General features: G+C 49.7%; 3 protein-coding genes and 1 long non-coding RNA gene across 8 annotated transcripts in view, besides 4 other annotated features; 3 read left to right on the top strand and 1 right to left on the bottom strand.

Moving 5' to 3' along the window:
• Positions 1–3806, top strand: part of URGCP (upregulator of cell proliferation) — a 50814-nt gene extending 47008 nt beyond the window's left edge. For all 5 annotated transcript variants that reach the window (NM_001077664.3, NM_001290076.2, NM_017920.5 and 2 more), the window contains one exon: positions 459–3806. In NM_001077664.3, the coding sequence (NP_001071132.1) occupies positions 459–3052 (2594 nt within the window). In that variant the 3' untranslated portion in view covers positions 3053–3806. The remainder of the gene's footprint in view (positions 1–458) is intronic.
• Positions 1–13161, top strand: part of URGCP-MRPS24 (URGCP-MRPS24 readthrough) — a 40039-nt gene extending 26878 nt beyond the window's left edge. Inside the window, exons 5-7 of the mRNA NM_001204871.2 lie at positions 10343–10411; positions 10645–10756; positions 12737–13161. Coding sequence (NP_001191800.1) covers positions 10343–10411; positions 10645–10733 — 158 coding nt within the window. The 3' untranslated portion in view covers positions 10734–10756; positions 12737–13161. The remainder of the gene's footprint in view (positions 1–10342; positions 10412–10644; positions 10757–12736) is intronic.
• Positions 7628–7803: a silencer, noted in NCBI's record as "fragment chr7:43911515-43911690 (GRCh37/hg19 assembly coordinates)". NCBI's record gives its function as "represses an EF-1alpha promoter that drives an FKBP-Casp9 reporter gene in an ReSE screen in HepG2 liver carcinoma cells {active_cell/tissue: HepG2}" and the evidence as "EXISTENCE:reporter gene assay evidence [ECO:0000049][PMID:32094911]".
• LOC124901620 (uncharacterized) lies at positions 8077–10073 on the bottom strand. The gene is made up of 2 exons (XR_007060296.1): positions 8885–10073; positions 8077–8771 (listed from the first exon to the last, which is right to left on the bottom strand). It is a non-coding gene; the product is annotated as an uncharacterized LOC124901620 (long non-coding RNA).
• Positions 9721–9840: an enhancer, noted in NCBI's record as "active region_25921". NCBI's record gives its function as "activates an Ori minimal core promoter by ATAC-STARR-seq in GM12878 lymphoblastoid cells {active_cell/tissue: GM12878}" and the evidence as "EXISTENCE:reporter gene assay evidence [ECO:0000049][PMID:35858748]".
• Positions 10071–10130: a silencer, noted in NCBI's record as "silent region_18130". NCBI's record gives its function as "represses an Ori minimal core promoter by ATAC-STARR-seq in GM12878 lymphoblastoid cells {active_cell/tissue: GM12878}" and the evidence as "EXISTENCE:reporter gene assay evidence [ECO:0000049][PMID:35858748]".
• MRPS24 (mitochondrial ribosomal protein S24) lies at positions 10202–13161 on the top strand. The gene is made up of 4 exons (NM_032014.3): positions 10202–10262; positions 10343–10411; positions 10645–10756; positions 12737–13161. The coding sequence occupies exons 1-4, from the start codon at positions 10224–10226 to the stop codon at positions 13018–13020; spliced, it is 504 nt and encodes a 167-aa protein (NP_114403.1). The 5' UTR covers positions 10202–10223; the 3' UTR covers positions 13021–13161.
• Positions 10431–10490: a silencer, noted in NCBI's record as "silent region_18129". NCBI's record gives its function as "represses an Ori minimal core promoter by ATAC-STARR-seq in GM12878 lymphoblastoid cells {active_cell/tissue: GM12878}" and the evidence as "EXISTENCE:reporter gene assay evidence [ECO:0000049][PMID:35858748]".
• Positions 13162–16994: the final 3833 nt, after the last annotated feature.

The raw sequence follows: 16994 nt of genomic DNA, 5'->3' as shown, positions 1-16994 counted from the left end.
GGGAACTTCCCGGTGACTCTGAGTAGCCCACGGAAGCAACACAGTGGGGAGGTGAGGCCTGCATTCAGCTTGTAGGAGTCATGTGCTGCTCACTGTAGCCAATTAATTTTGAGCTCAGTGTTAGATCTTACAGGTTTCTAGAAAGACCAGAAATATGGCTTTTGCAAGAACTCTTCCAGTTGTTAAATGTAGCTTATTTATTTCTGTTCTTTCTTTTGTTTAATGTCACATATATCTGTGGTTAGGTTGGTACCTATTGTACCTTGATGTCCGGGTTCCAGCCCTGCCTTGATCTCAGGTCAGCCTTGAGCACACCCTGAGCCTCCTGTGCCTGCACTCTGCTCTCTGAAGGGGGTCGTCACTCTCCCCATCCTGCTGGGCTCTCCTTCACCAGCTCTTCCCTGGCCCCTAGCTCAGAAACACAGGGTGAGCACTTATGTCTTCATTTCTTTCCACAGTGGAGAGAAGCAGGCTTCAAGAAATGCTGTCACTTTTGGGCCTAGAGACGTACCAGGTCCAGAAACTCAGCCTCCAGGACTCTCTGCAGATCAGTTTTGACAGTATGAAGAACTGGGCCCCTCAGGTTCCCAAAGACTTGCCCTGGAATTTCCTCAGGAAGTTGCAGGCCCTCAATGCTGATGCCAGGAATACCACTATGGTGCTGGACGTGCTCCCAGACGCCAGGCCTGTGGAGAAGGAGAGCCAGATGGAAGAGGAGATCATCTACTGGGACCCAGCTGATGACCTTGCTGCCGACATTTATTCCTTTTCTGAGCTGCCCACCCCTGATACGCCAGTGAACCCCTTAGACCTTCTCTGTGCCCTGCTGCTCTCCTCAGACAGTTTCCTGCAACAAGAAATAGCGTTGAAAATGGCCCTCTGCCAGTTTGCACTCCCACTCGTGTTGCCTGACTCGGAGAACCACTACCATACATTTCTGCTGTGGGCCATGCGGGGCATTGTGAGGACATGGTGGTCCCAGCCCCCAAGGGGCATGGGGAGCTTCCGGGAAGACAGCGTGGTCTTGTCCAGGGCGCCCGCCTTCGCCTTCGTGCGCATGGACGTCAGTAGCAACTCCAAGTCCCAGCTTCTCAACGCCGTCCTCAGCCCGGGCCACAGGCAGTGGGACTGCTTCTGGCATCGGGACCTCAACTTGGGCACCAATGCCCGGGAGATTTCGGATGGGTTGGTAGAAATTTCCTGGTTTTTTCCCAGCGGAAGGGAGGACTTGGACATTTTCCCAGAACCTGTGGCCTTTCTGAACCTGAGAGGTGACATCGGGTCTCACTGGCTGCAGTTTAAGCTCTTGACAGAAATCTCCTCCGCTGTGTTTATATTGACTGACAATATCAGTAAGAAGGAATACAAATTGCTGTACTCCATGAAGGAGTCAACCACAAAATACTACTTCATCCTGAGTCCCTACCGTGGGAAGCGCAACACAAACCTGAGATTTCTGAATAAGTTAATTCCTGTGCTGAAAATAGACCACTCACATGTCCTGGTAAAGGTCAGCAGCACTGACAGCGACAGCTTCGTGAAGAGGATCCGGGCCATCGTTGGGAATGTGCTGCGGGCACCCTGCAGGCGGGTATCTGTGGAGGACATGGCGCACGCAGCCCGCAAACTGGGCCTAAAGGTCGACGAGGACTGTGAGGAGTGTCAGAAAGCGAAAGACCGGATGGAGAGGATTACCAGGAAAATCAAAGACTCGGATGCCTACAGAAGGGACGAGCTGAGGCTGCAGGGGGACCCCTGGAGAAAGGCAGCCCAAGTGGAGAAGGAGTTCTGCCAGCTCCAGTGGGCCGTGGACCCCCCTGAGAAGCACAGGGCTGAGCTGAGGCGGCGGCTGCTAGAACTTCGAATGCAGCAGAACGGCCATGATCCCTCCTCGGGGGTGCAGGAGTTCATCTCGGGGATCAGCAGCCCCTCCTTGAGTGAGAAGCAGTACTTCCTGAGGTGGATGGAGTGGGGCCTGGCACGGGTGGCCCAGCCGCGACTGAGACAGCCTCCGGAGACGCTTCTCACCCTGAGACCAAAGCATGGGGGCACCACAGACGTGGGGGAGCCGCTCTGGCCTGAGCCCCTAGGGGTGGAACACTTCTTGCGGGAGATGGGACAGTTTTATGAGGCTGAGAGCTGTCTTGTGGAGGCAGGGAGGCTGCCGGCAGGCCAGAGGCGTTTTGCCCACTTCCCAGGCTTGGCCTCGGAGCTGCTGCTGACAGGGCTGCCTCTGGAGCTAATCGATGGGAGCACGCTGAGCATGCCCGTCCGCTGGGTCACAGGGCTCCTGAAGGAGCTGCACGTCCGACTGGAGAGACGGTCAAGGCTGGTGGTTCTGTCAACCGTCGGGGTGCCAGGCACGGGCAAGTCCACACTCCTCAACACCATGTTTGGGCTGCGGTTTGCCACAGGGAAGAGCTGCGGTCCTCGAGGGGCCTTCATGCAGCTCATCACAGTGGCTGAGGGCTTCAGCCAGGACCTGGGCTGTGACCACATCCTGGTGATAGACTCCGGGGGCTTGATAGGTGGGGCCTTGACGTCAGCTGGGGACAGATTTGAGCTGGAGGCTTCCTTGGCCACTCTGCTCATGGGACTGAGCAATGTCACCGTGATCAGTCTAGCTGAAACCAAGGACATTCCAGCAGCTATTCTGCATGCATTTCTGAGGTTAGAAAAAACGGGGCACATGCCCAACTACCAGTTTGTATACCAGAACCTTCATGATGTATCTGTTCCCGGCCCTAGGCCCAGAGACAAGAGACAGCTCCTGGATCCACCTGGTGACCTGAGCAGGGCTGCAGCCCAGATGGAGAAACAGGGCGACGGCTTCCGGGCACTGGCAGGCCTGGCCTTCTGCGACCCTGAGAAGCAGCACATCTGGCACATCCCAGGCCTGTGGCACGGAGCACCTCCCATGGCCGCAGTGAGCTTGGCCTACAGTGAAGCCATATTTGAATTGAAGAGATGCCTACTCGAAAACATCAGGAACGGCTTGTCGAACCAAAACAAAAACATCCAGCAGCTCATTGAGCTGGTGAGACGGCTGTGAGTGTGCAGAGAAACCCAGTTCAGGTGTAGGAGGCTGCTGTGGGCAGCCCTGTCTGATGGGGCACCCGTGTGGGGCTGTGCTCTGGTGCCTGAGAATGGCTGGTGCCCAATCGACATGAGAAGACGAGGAAAAGACAGGGTTTGGAGTCTCCTCAACAGTGTTAAAAGAGGAAGTGACCTCACAGACCAGCTCAGAGATGTTACCAAGAATATCACAGCCCCCAGGGTAGGGAGACAAGCAGCAGTTTGTTCTGTCTCAGCTCCTGTCAAGGATCCTGCGGGGTGGGCCCTCTGTATAGCTGCTCTCTGTCACTGGCCCCTGGAGTGGGAGCAGCGTCCTTAGTCACTGCAGGCCCAGGCGGGCAGGTGGTCCCAGGACAGAGGTGGGGAAGTTGTCCTGAGGAAGCAGAAGTAGGCCTTGCTCCCGCCCAACCCAAGGGCCTCCAGTGGACCAGCATTCAAGATGTGAGTGCCCGTGGTGTGCAAGGCACTCCCATGGCACCGTATTTATTGACTGATCTGTGAAGGCTTCCCTGACCCCTGCCCAGGAAGAGTTCACTGGTCGCTCTGTTGTGCCCCACAGCACTTTGTTATACCTCTGCCACACACTTCACGCAGCGCGTTGTAACTCATGTGTTTACATGTCTGTCCCCCCAGACTGTGAGCTCCTTGAGGGCAGGGACTGTACATTCTCCAGCTCTGTGTCCCCAGGGCCTGGCACATTGTAGACGCTTAATAAATGTCTGTTAAATGAATGAGTGCACAAGTGATGGTAATGGGCAGGTTCTGCCTCTCTGTGCCTTAATTCTCCTGTTTCTCAAAGAGGATAGCAGCATCTGTCTGAGGAGGGTGTACGGTACAGGCAGTATCTGGAATGGTAGATAGCACAGAGATGCACCACTTAAAAAAGCCATCCTGTTCCCTCTCTTTAAGGCAGGAGCCATTCTTCAGGCTGTTACTGGGGATTAAAACTAAATACCTTCACAGTAACTCTGAGGTCTTTCCACTGTCACCCCATTTCACAGTTGAGGAAAAGGAAGCCTAGAGCAGGTAATCCCCTGCCCCAGAGCTTACACCTGGATGGGCAGAGCTGGAGCGGATGAAGGGTGGTGCTGTCACGCCCAGCCCTGCATCTCTTCCTCTCATCCTCTCCAGACTCCCATGGCTTCTGGGCTCACCCCTGGGCAGCCATGTCAGTGCCAGCGCCTCCTCTTACATCCTCCCCGACCTCATCCACAGCCCACTTGCCACCATTCGAACCAGAGGCTTGGCCAAGGACTTGGTAGTTCTGCCCTGTCAGTTTTCCCGCTGGAGTCCTTGCCTGTGCTGGCCCTTCCCAGAGGCCAGTGTCACCTCACTGGGCCTCAGAACCCCACCTGAGCCCTTTCACCAGCTCTAGGAAGCTCTGCTTGATCCTCTGGGCCTTGCTTAGACCTTGGAGCCTCTTTCTCTTTGTGTTTCTTGACTTCAGAGAAACCAGGCCCTTCCCCAAGAGCTCCTACCATGTTTCTTGTCCTCCTTTCACTAGACACAGCAAGGGAGCCTTTAGCTCTCGGGAGCTCACCAGCCTTCTAGACTGGAATCCTTTCTTGAACAAAAGGCTTCCTGGTCCCTCTTCTGGAGATGCCTGGCAGGCTGCCTGCTGTGGATTTCTGGATTCCCCAGATGCTCCACCTGCTGCTCCCGGGACATCCAAACTGTTGCCTCCTGCGTTCCAGGAGCCTGGTTCTCTGCAAACCTGGTCTCTTAGTAATAAGTTTAGGAAAACCTTTCCCTTTTTCATTTTCCTGCTCTGTTGCCTGGGCTGGAATGCAGTGGCGCGATCTCACTGCAACCTCCACCTCCTGGGTTCCAGTGATTCTCAGCCTCCCAAGTAGCTGGGACTACAGGCGCCCACCATCACAAAAATACAAATAATTTTTGTATTTTTAGTACAGACAGGGTTTCACCACGTTGGCCAGGCTGGTCTCACACTTCTGGCCTCAAGTGATCCACCTGCCTCAGCCTCCCAAAGTGCTGGGATTACAGGAGTGAGCCACCGTACCCAGCCTCCTCCCACCCTTTTTGAAGGGTTGATGTTTCAAGTCTGTGAACTGTGGATGGGCCTTGCCTTTAGCCCTCCAGTCAGTGCTGCTCTTAGGATTCCAATGAACACAACACCCAGGACTTGCCTTTCATATCTGGAGCTCAAAATGCTCACCTTCAGGTCTGAGAAGCCCCAGAATTTGCCATGGGGCTACTGGACGGTCATGTCCTTGGAGCCAAGCTTAGTAGAGAGAGAGCCACCCAGAAAGGTGGACAGGGCGGCAGGCTGCTCACCAGAGCATGGCCGTGTGCTCACAAGGGGTCCTGTTTGATGAAAGTGTCAAACCAAGCAAGTACCATCTTGGAGGAAATGGGCCTGAAGAGTGCTTGGGACAAGGAACAAGCGTGTCTTCGCCTCTCTTGTGAGATGAGGTGTAGCTTGCTTCAGCACATTGGATGTCCGGCCTGGTTTTGAACCTCAGCCTTACTTCCTACTAATTATATGACCCTTTAGCAAAGTTACTTGGCTTCTCCAAGCCTTAGTTCCCCCTACTAGCGCCTGTGTAGGAATGGAAGGTGCTTATACAGTGCCTGCCCTGTGGTGGAAAAGCCAGTCTGTGCATGAGGTAAGTGAGGCACCCATCTCTGTGTCTACACCATTCTGCACACCCATGAGGTTTGTGGAGAGGAAACTGCCTTCTGCATCAGCCTCAAACATTTTAACATGTCAGATCAGGATTCATCTTTTAATCAATCAATGGTACCTTAAGATAATTTGCAGCCAGTTTTCCTTCTTAATGGTATGTAAAACAGCATCTTCTCATCGATACTATCTTAATTTACTGAAACAGCACCTAGCAGAACTGGTGGTGGTCTGCAGTTTATACAATATAAACCTGATCTGGTAACTACCCCAACTCCTCAGGTGTGGTGTATTAGCCCAGTAAAAGGGAAAATCCTCTTTCTGAGTCACTAATAAAATAATTTGGCCATAAACCTATCCTGATTTCTTCTAAGACTCCAACAAAATTTCACCAGAGTGCAGCTTTATGAGCACTGATGAGTCAGGGCTGTACAAGAGCCAAGATGACCTTGGTCCTGGTCTCCTGTCATTTCGTCAACCACACCCTCGCCCCGCCACATACACACTTTGGAGGCCATGGTTTCTTCCATGCTGCTGTCTGCCTGGGGGCCCCTTCTGCCTGTCTCTGGCCCTGGTTGACTGGCGGGCACATCTCTCAGAACAGCCTCTGGTGCCAGTCGCACCTCCATTTGTGCCCACCCAAGGGTTCAGAGGCCTTTCTGTGCCCTTCTTGGTCCTTAGCACATTTTCATTGTCTCCTCATCTGAGCCCATTATATCTAGATCTAGCAGTTTCTGGGAGCCAGGGAGTGGCAGTCTCAGGGGCTGGAGCTCATGAGCCCATCCCTCGGTCTTCTCTTTCTTGAGTCCGCACCCCCTCTATCCTAAGCACCAGTTTGGCTTCTTCAGGTTCTGACTTTTAGCCCAGGGTTCTGGTGTGGCACTGGGCATTTCTAATTGCCCATAGCTCTGATAACAGGGGAGTGGATTCCTTGGGACCGCAAAGCTGATGTCAGTAATTATAGCTGGGGACCTCACCCACCAAACCCAGCCCTTGTGCCTCACCAGAAGGAGAACAGAGGTGGGGGGATGGAGCAGGAGCTCACAGGGAAAACGGCTGAGCTGTCTTGGCAATCTGGTTTGACACGCCTCTCTGCTTTACTCATAGGGTTTCAGTTGTTTGACCTATTTCTCAGAATAGAGCTGAGAGCCTCTGGGATTTTTCCTAGTGAACGAGTTATTAGGAAAAAAAGAATCACAAGGAATAATGTAAAAACCATAGGTTTACAAAGTGTAAAGTGTCAGCAGTTCTGAGTTAGGATAAGTCAGCTGTAAAGAGAACCACCATGAGTGGAGTGATATCGGCTCACCCTGCAGCCAACAGGAAGGGAGATGTCACCCCACCGCCCCCAGGCTGGATTCTGAAACTCTTCAGGCTCTGGAAGTACAAGGGGGCTGACAGCTCCCTTTTACACAGTGTCTCTCCATGGCCCAGCCAGTGCTGTATCCCCTGAGCACTCTGGGTGAGCCCATGGTGGCTGTGCTGCACCCAACTGGACAGATCATCTCAAAGAAGTCCTGACCTCCCAGCAGACCCCTCCTCCCTTCTTCTGCCCTTGTGACCAAGAGTGGTGGGCGTGGACTATGGCTATGTTCCTTAGAGAGCTGCCATAATCTTCCAGGGGCATCCAACAGCACTCTCCCCGAAAGGGGGCTCTGCAAATACACATTTTGGGAGTCTCCCAAATAAACTGAGTGAGTTCAGGACACTGGTTCTCAGCCCCGACTGCAAATTGAAATCATCTAAGGGGCATTTTAAAAGTGTGAGTGCCTGCCCTCTCCCCACAGAGGTGGTGTGGAACCCAGGGGGCTCTGTCATGCAATTGCAAATCACTGCTTTGAGAGCATAGGAGCAACTTCTGGTTCTTGGTTATTATGTACAGAACAAAGGCTCATGTCAGAGAAAAAGCAGTTTTACATCCCTGTCTCTGCATTAGGCTCCAGGAAGGGTGCAGATGGGTCTTTCACATGGGGTCATATGCTCCTGGCCTTTCCATGTCCAGGCAGTCCTTGAGGGCCACTTGGGAGCTGTCTGCAGCAAGCCACAGAAACCCAGGCCATTCCCTGATCCTAACATGGTCTGAACCCTCACCCCCAGGAAGTGATACTGAAAGAGCACATGCTTTGGAGCAAAAAGGCCTGCTACCATTTACTACTTCTGTAACCTCAGGTGAGTCTGTGAGCCTCCATCTTCTGCTCTGTGAAGCCTGGAAATACTGCCTCCTTTATGGAATTAATAGGAGAAGGAAAGTGCATCAAAACAACAACAAATGGAAGTTACAGAAAAATAAAACATCCCCAGTCAGATTTTTCTGCTGATTATTTAAAACAATATAACATTCATACTGATGTATAAAAGTCATTTTAAGTAATTTTAATCATGTAAAGACCGACACGTCCCCTTTCCCCCAATCACAGTATAAACAAAGCTAATAAAGGATAGATAACAAGATATTTGAACCCCAGAAATGTCTGCCACTGAAATGGCCATTGTGATGCTTGGAAAGATCTAGATCGGTTTGGAATTCCAGAGAGAGATCTCAGGCATAAGGGAGAATGGCTTGAATAGAGGAAAGCATAAATTTGATCATTTGATTGCCTACTGCTTTATGGGCTAAACTTGATTCCCAACCACAGCCTTCGTGGTGTGGCCCCTGCCCACCTTGGGCCCCAATAGGTGTTGTGCCATTGCCACCTCTGCCTCTGATCAGCCCAAGGATCTTGTTTCCCTTTCTCCTTCCCCTTTCCTCTGATTAGGGTGGTGTTGCTATGAGTTCTCACAGAACCCTCAATAGCTGGCTCATCTCCCTAACGGGATATGTGGCTATCAGGGACTCGTTAAAAACAACAACAAAACCCACAACTGCTCTCTCCCTCTGCCAGGCACATCATACTGTACTTCTCACAACCACCATTATTGTCCCCAGTTTACAGATGAGAGAAACCGAGGCTCAGAAGGTTCAGTCACTTGTCCAAATTACACAGCCAGGAAGCATTGGGTCCACGATTTGGACTCAGGCAATTCAGATGCCACATCCCATGTTCCTCACCACCTTGGAGCAAATTAATGAAACTTAACAATTATAAAATTATTGAACATTATGAAAACTTTAAAAAATAATTGTCAGTTGAAAAGGATTTCTTAGGAAATGTTGAAAGTTCTTACATTTGCAAAGTATGCATTGGAGGGCACCTCATCCCTGTTCTGTCCCTTTATTCAATATGCATAACAGTTGGGGGCCGCAGTTCCTAAAAAGTAAGAATAAAACATTTCTGGTGAAGTGGACATGGAAGACCTTGTCCTTTTATTACGGGTTTTTTGAGAACCCACCTTCATGTAATCAGAGGAATCTTGGTCATGGGAAATGGGCTGGACTGAAGTCAAGAGACTTGTGTCTTGGTCCCTCTTTCCCTCTTCTCAGTGTGGTCATGGGCAACTCATTTCCACCGTTCTTCCATTTCCCCTTCCCATGGATCATAATCCAGTCCTCCCCCTGACAGGAAACCGCAGCAGTATGCAAGTACTGTACCATTAAGGGGAATGATGTAGACCCAGAACGGCCAAAACATTGGCAATTTCACATCACTCAACCAAACACAACCCATCATTGATTAAATATTCTCTTGATCCTAATAGCTCTATAAGGTAGTACTATTATTAAGGCCCATTTTATAGATAATAGAACTGAGTCTTAACTGTACAAAGATTGTTATACATGGGTCTGACTCCAGAGCCCGTGTTTTTTCCATGACCGTGGTGACTTCTAAAATAAAATATCCCGCGTTGCTATTTTTCCGTTTGACATTAATAATTACTGGATACCAATAATAGTGGCGACGCACTGGTTTCAGCATTACAGGCCCTGCGATATTCTCACGAATCTCCTTGCCCTCCGGCCCCTTCCCCGTACTTAAAATTTTCCTTCCTCAGGGGCCAGTCACCACTGTGGTCACATGTGGCAAACCCATTCTTGCATAACTGCGTAAGTCATCCTTGAAGAATTGGGTGACGTTTTAACCAAAATATGTTTCTTCTTTATTTGTGGATAAAAGTCTGGAGGGTTTTTCTGTTTTGTTTTTCTACGAATATTATTTGGAGGCATAACTAGGACCTGGGGAAACGCTTGGCTCCTCTTCGAGCCCCGAGGGTGCAGGTTGGGCAGGGCGGGCTCCGGTGGGCCGCACACCCATCACCCGTACTAGCGTGAGGTTGTCGAAGAGAAAATCTCACGTTTCGCATCCTCAAATTTCCGGATCTGAAACCCTATGCAAGCAGCAACCGCGGGAGAGCGAACAGCGGCGGGATGAGCATTCACAAGGCTGAGCATTCACAGGGCTGCGGGGAAGGCGGGAGTAACAGCTAGCAGCATACCGCGGCCCCGCCCCGCAGAGGCCCTGCCCCGCCCCCGCCAGAGTACAGAGTACGAGCTCCGACTTGGTCTCGTCCGCGGTCGTCCCCACCCCTCAGCGCGCTGTGGTACGTCCCGCGCTCCGCTTGGCCCAAGATGGCGGCCTCCGTGTGCAGCGGGTTGCTGGGGCCACGGGTGAGTGGGGCGACTCGGCAGGTCCCTGCGAGTCGGAGGTGGGGTCCCTAGTTTCCGCCTCACGCGCCCTCCCTCCACAGGTGCTGTCCTGGAGCCGAGAGCTGCCTTGCGCTTGGCGCGCCCTGCACACCTCCCCGGTCTGCGCCAAGGTGAGCACCGCCGGGGCAGGGGCCTGGGGGCCTGGGGGCCGGGGGGCCGGGGGCCGGGGAAGCCGTGCGGGCTGAAGGGGGCGTGTCGCTGGGGTCCGAGGCGGGGCTAGGGTCGGGGCTTAGGGATCAGGGGATTGGGGCCGGGGAACAGTGCCAGCTGACTGGGGGGACATGGCGCGAAGTAGGGGTCTGGATCGGGGATCTCGTGGAGTCACGGCCCCTTTTGCTCCTAGAACCGGGCGGCCCGAGTACGCGTAAGCAAGGGGGACAAGCCGGTGACCTACGAGGAGGCACACGCGCCGCACTACATCGCCCACCGTAAAGGCTGGCTGTCGCTGCACACAGGTGAGCGGACCCCAGGCCTCCAAAAGGAGCACTCAATCCGACTGTCATGTAAACAAAATGAACACGTGTCACAGGTTTTCTTTAACTCAGGAAATAATGCTAGGGTCAGAAATCTATGAAACCAACTCAAGGGAGACATAAAAAAGCAGAGATATATATAGATCAGGATGTTGAAACAAATTTGAAGATGGATGCAAAACTGACTTTTTCCATGGCAGGCAGGGACTCAATTGATCCTCCACTGAACAGAAATTATTTGCATGTCTACAGACAAGAATTATTTTGCATTCCTGTCAGTTATCTGTAATTTACAGAGCTGTAAAATAGCTCAGAGTCAAGGAAAGGAGTGAAACCGTTGCAGAATCTGATAACCCTGAACAGTGTGCTCTAAGGAATGCAGTTTTCCACTAAAGCACAAATTTTTCTCTGTAAATATATACAGACAACCCTCGTTATTCATGAATTCCATATTTTCAGATTCTTCTACTGACTAAAATTTATTTGTAAGCCCCAAATCAACACTCTGGGCACTCTCAAGGTCACTCTGAGATGTGGGTGGAGCTGCCACCCCAGGTGCATGTCCCGAGCTGAGGTCGACAAGGCTCTGCCTAGTTTCAGCTCTCGTACTGTAAAAGGTGTCCTTTTTATGGTCTAGAATCTTTTTTTTTTAATTTGCATTTTCGTGCTTTTTGTTAGTGATTTTGCTGTTTAAAATGGCCTTGCAATGCTGAAGTGCTATCTAGTGTTCCTAAGCGGGAGAAGGCTGTGACGTGCCTTAGGGAGAACATACATGTATTAGAGAATCTTTCTTCAGTCATGAGTTGCTCTTGGCCCTGAATTCAATGTTAGTGAATCTACCATATATATTAAACAAGGTGTCTTTAAACAGAAACACAAAGGAAACTAGGTTATGTATTGATTTGTTAACAAAAATACGGTGCCCAGAGGCTGAAAGGAATCTAACCCTGTATTTCACCTAGGAGCAATGGTTCAGTATTCACTAAGTCAGTGTTGGCAGTGACTTTATAGAATATAACTATTGTGAACAATTGATAACCAACTGTGCTTTGTTTAGTACAGGGGTTCTTGGATGTTTGAGATGCATCTAGAGAACTTACTTAAAATACAGATGCTTGCCTGGCACGGTGGCTCACGCCTGTAATCCCAGCACTTTGGGAGGCCGAGGAGGGTGGATCCTGAGGTCAGGAGTTCAATACCAACCTGGCCAAGATGGTGAAACCCCATCTCTACTAAAAATACAAAAAAATTAGCTGGGCGTAGTGGCGGGCGCCTGCAATCCCAGCTATTCAGGAGGCTGAGGCAGAGAATTGTTTGAACCCAAGAGGCGGAGGTTGCAGTGAGCCGAGATCACGCCACTGCACTCCAGCCTGGACGACAGAGTGAGACTCCATCTCAAAAAAAAAAAAAAAAAAAAAAAAAAAGAGAGAGAGATGCTTGTCTCCCACTCTTTCAGGTTCTGGTCTGAGGTTTGGATGTAGGTGTGCAGACTCTTAGTGGACATTGTAAGGGCTGCAGGGGATCCACAGTTCACACTGAGGAACCCACTGGTGGAAGCCCTGGGCCTAGCTCATGTCCCTAATCTCAAAAATAGCTGGTAGCCTCATCTTTCTGGCCCATGGGATGACCAGTGTTTTTATAAGGCAGCCAAGAAAGCAGGAAAGGGGCTAGATGTGGTGGCATCATCTTGAGTTTTGTACCCTGACTCAGGCCTCCATCTTCCTTTTTGTAAAATAAGGATAATGATAATACCTACTAAACTGAATTGGCTTGGGAATTAATGACATAACATACTTTGAACTTTAAAGTGTTATTTTTCTTATTCCATTAGCAGAAGAAAAGAGAAGAGGCTGGGGGTGAAGGGTGGGATTGTGCTCAGCGCTTTTGGATGTTGACTCTGGAGTTATGGCAGGGCCCTGGGGCAATGAGGCTGATTCTTCTATTATGCCCTTCCCTCTTCAGGTAACCTGGATGGAGAGGACCATGCCGCAGAGCGAACGGTGGAGGATGTTTTCCTTCGCAAGTTCATGTGGGGTACCTTCCCAGGCTGCCTGGCTGACCAGCTGGTTTTAAAGCGCCGGGGTAACCAGTTGGAGATCTGTGCCGTGGTCCTGAGGCAGTTGTCTCCACACAAGTACTACTTCCTCGTGGGCTACAGTGAAACTTTGCTGTCCTACTTTTACAAATGTCCTGTGCGACTCCACCTCCAAACTGTGCCCTCAAAGGTTGTGTATAAGTACCTCTAGAACAATCCCCTTTTTTCCATCAAGCTGTAGCCTGCAGAGAATGGAAACGTGGGAAAGGAATGGTATGTGGGGGAAATGCATCCCCTCAGAGGACTGAGGCATAGTCTCTCATCTGCTATTGAATAAAGACCTTCTATCTTGTCTTGCCTCTCTGTTTTTACTCTTGGATGAGGGAACTAGAGTAGCGTTTCTTTGACGATGCTCCAGGGTTTGCAGGAAGGCTGACGCCAGTTGTTTGAAGTTTAATTCATAGCTACAGTTTGGTGAGTACCTGTGCCAATCAATCACTCTGTCAAGCACTTTGCCTAAAAGTTCTTTGTTTTTTCTCAAGATGGAAAGACCCATTCAGTGTTAGTTTTTAAGAATCAAAACAGGCTGGGCACGGTGGCTCACGCCTGTAATCCCAGCACTTTGGGAGGCCGAGATGGGCAGATCACGAGGTTAGGAGATTGAGACCATCCTGGCTAACAAGGTGAAACCCCGTCTCTATTAAAAATACAAAAAATTAGCTGGGCATGGTGGCGGGCGTCTGTAGTCCCAGCTATTCGGGAGGCTGAGGCAGGAGAATGGTGCGAACTCGAGAGGCGGAGCTTGCAGTGAGCTGAGATCGCGCCACTGCACTCCAGCCTGGGTGACAGAGCAAGACTCCATCTCAAAAAAAAAAAAACAATATGAACATATATCAAATTGACCATGAAGCTTTCTTATAATTCCACTCCAGAGAGAACTACTGTGAACAGCTTTTATATTTTATTCCCAGATGTACTTTTTTCAAGGAATACTTTTATGCACACTCATCGATACTAAACTCTTATCGAGTGCCTCCTCCGGCCCAAGCACTCTTCTAACTGCCTGGGACCCATTAGTGAGCAAAACATTTCATTCCAAGATCACTGTCTTTGTGACACTCACATCCTAGTGAAAGGGCAGGGAGCGTGAGGCAGCATTAAATGGTCCAAGCACGTGAAGGAGGAAGACATGCAGATAAATGGAGGAAGAGCATTTCAGAAAGTTGCATTCACAACAGCCAGCACCTGGTGCTAGGAAGTAGGGCAGAGGTTGCTGATCCTGACCTTGACTCTCATCTTGATCATGTCTCTGATATCTTTAACCTGACCCTGAGCCTCAGCCCAACACACCCTTACCCTGAACTTGATAATGGCCCTGACTCTAACCGTGACCCTGTTGCTGACCTTTACCCTGACCTTGACACACAGGCTGACCTTCACCCTCACTCTCACCTAGACCCTTCCTGGTCATGTGTCTCACTCTGAGTCTGACTCTGACCTTGACTCTGATGGTCACTTTGAACTTCACTCTGAACCTGACCCTGACTCAGAACATACTAACACTACCCTGACTGTTACCATGACCGTGTTAGTCCATTTTCACGCTGCTGATAAAGACATACCTGAGACTGAGGTTTAATGGACTTAGAGTTCCACATGGCTGGGGAGGCCTCATAATCATGGTGGAAGGCAAAAGGCATGTCTTACATAGCAGCAGGCAAGAGAGAATAATAACCAAGCCAAAGAGTTTTCCCCTTATAAAACCATCAGCTCTCATGTGACTTACTCACTACCACGAGAACAGTATGGGGGAAACTGCCCCCATGATTCAGTTATCTCCCACTGGGTCCCTCCCACAACGTGGGAATTATGGGAGCTACAATTCAAGATGAGATTTGGGTGGGGACACAGCCAAACCATATTCTGTTGGGAATAGGCCCCCAAATCTGGCCATAAACTGGCCCCCAAACTGGCCATAAACAAAATCTCTGCAGCACCGTGACATGCTCATGATGGCTATGACACCCACACTGAAGGTTGTAGGTTTACTGGAATGAGGACGAGGAACACCTGGCCCACGCAGGGCGGAAAACCGCTTAAGGCATTCCTAAGCCACAAATAATAGCATGAGCGATCTGTGCCTTAGGGACATGTTCCTGCTGGAGATAACCAGCCAGAGCCCATCCCTTTGTTTCCCATTTTATTTAATCTATAATCTATAGAAACAATGCTTATCACTGGCTTGCTGTCAATAAATACTTTTTATTTATTGTGGGTAAAACTCTGTTCCTGGCTATCAGCTCTGAAGGCTGCCAGTCCCCTGATTTCCCACTCCACACTCTATATTTCTGTGTGTGTGTCTTTAATTCCTCTAATGCCGCTGAGTTAGGGTCTCCATGACCGAGCTGGTCTCAGCAAGTGGTGCCCATGTGTGGGGCTCGAAACCCGTGTTGGAGGGTCGCTGGAGCGACGGTTGGAGAACGTGGAACTAAGCTGGAGGACACTCGAATACTCTTAAGCAATCCCTGTGATGAGTAAGAAGGGGAGCTCAGAAGCATCAGGGTAACAATGGGACAGGTGTGGGCTCTGGTTCATTCCACCTTGGAACCTTTTCACACTGATGATGAAGAGGAAGTAGAGTACAATGAAGTAACAGAAGAGGTGACAGAGCAGGTTTGTTTGCCAGCTAAAGTTAAAGTGGCAAAGGAGGAAGAGGTTCATCCCTACCCTTCTCCACCCCCTCATAATTTTGAAGAAAAAGAGTGGCCTGACCCTCCAGATCTTTCTTTTCCAGAGGACACTGGGTGAAAAGTAGTTGCCCCAGTGACTGTTCAAACAGCACCTCGAGCGACCGCTCTCAGTTCTATTCAGGCAGGAATTCAGCAAGCTAGACAAGAGGGTGATATAGATGCTTGGAAGTTCCCTGTTAGAATACACCCACCTAATCAACAGGGAAATATTACACCTATGTTTGAGTCTTTTCCTTTTAAATTACTCAAAGAGTTTAAACAAGCTATCAATCAGTATGAACCAGGTCTATGCCCGAAGTGTAAAAAAGGGAAGCATTGGGCCAATCAGCGTCATTCTAAATTTGAGAAGGATGGAAATGTGATTTCGGGAAATGCCATGAGGGGCCCATCCCGAGACCCATTGCAAACCGGGGCATTTCCGGCTCAGGCCATCCCTTCACCCATGTACAATGTCTGTCCCCCGCCACAGCTGGTAGTGCCGTGGTAGATTTATGCTGCACAAAATCTGTCAGTCTTCTGCCTGGGGAACCCCTGCAAAAAGTTCCAACAGGGGTCTGTGGACCCTTGCCAGCGGGGATGATAGGATTACTTCTAGGTAGATCTAGTTTAAATATAAAAGGAGTGCAAGTACATACAGGAGTCATTGATTCAGATTACAATGGAGAAATTCAAATTGTTATATCTACTTCTGTTCCCTGGAAAGCAGAGCCAGGAGAGTGCATAGCACAGCTCCTGATTGTGCCGTATGTGAAAATGGGGAAAAGTAAAATTAAACAAACAGGAGGATTTGGAAGCAAAAATAAACAAGGCAAAGCAGCTTATTGGGTGAATCAAATTGTGATAAACGTCCTACCTGTGGAATAACTATTCAGGGAAAGAAATTTAAAGGTTTGGTAGATACAGGAGTGGACATTTCCATCATTTCTCTACAGCACTGGCCATCCGCATGGTCAATTCAACCCGCTCAATTTAATATAGTTGGAGTTGGTAAAGCCCCTGAAGTATATCAAAATAGTTATATTTTGCATTGTGAAGGGCCCGATGGACAACCTGGGACTATTCAACCAATTATAACTTCTGCACCTATAAATTTATGGGGGAGAGATTTATTACAACAATGGGGAGCACAAGTTCTAATTCCAGAGCAATTATACAGCCCTCAAAGTCAACATATGATGCATGAAATGGGGTATGTCCCTGGTATGGGACTAGGAAAAAATTTGCAAGGTTTGAAGGAACTGCTTCAAGTGGAAAGACAAAGTTCCTGCCAAGGTTTGGGATAAGATTTTTGATGGAGGCCATTGTTAAGCCTCCAGAACCTATACCTTAAAAATGGTTAACAAATAAGCCAATTTGGATAGAACAATGGCCACTAAGTAAAGAGAAACTGGAGGCTTTAGAGGACTTAGTTAATGAACAATTGGAAAAAGGACAC

The sequence above is a fragment of the Homo sapiens genome, chromosome 7 (genome assembly GCF_000001405.40).
Source record: "Homo sapiens chromosome 7, GRCh38.p14 Primary Assembly".
Classification (NCBI taxonomy): Eukaryota; Metazoa; Chordata; class Mammalia; order Primates; family Hominidae; genus Homo; species Homo sapiens.
This window is presented reverse-complemented; position numbering and strand designations above follow the sequence as displayed.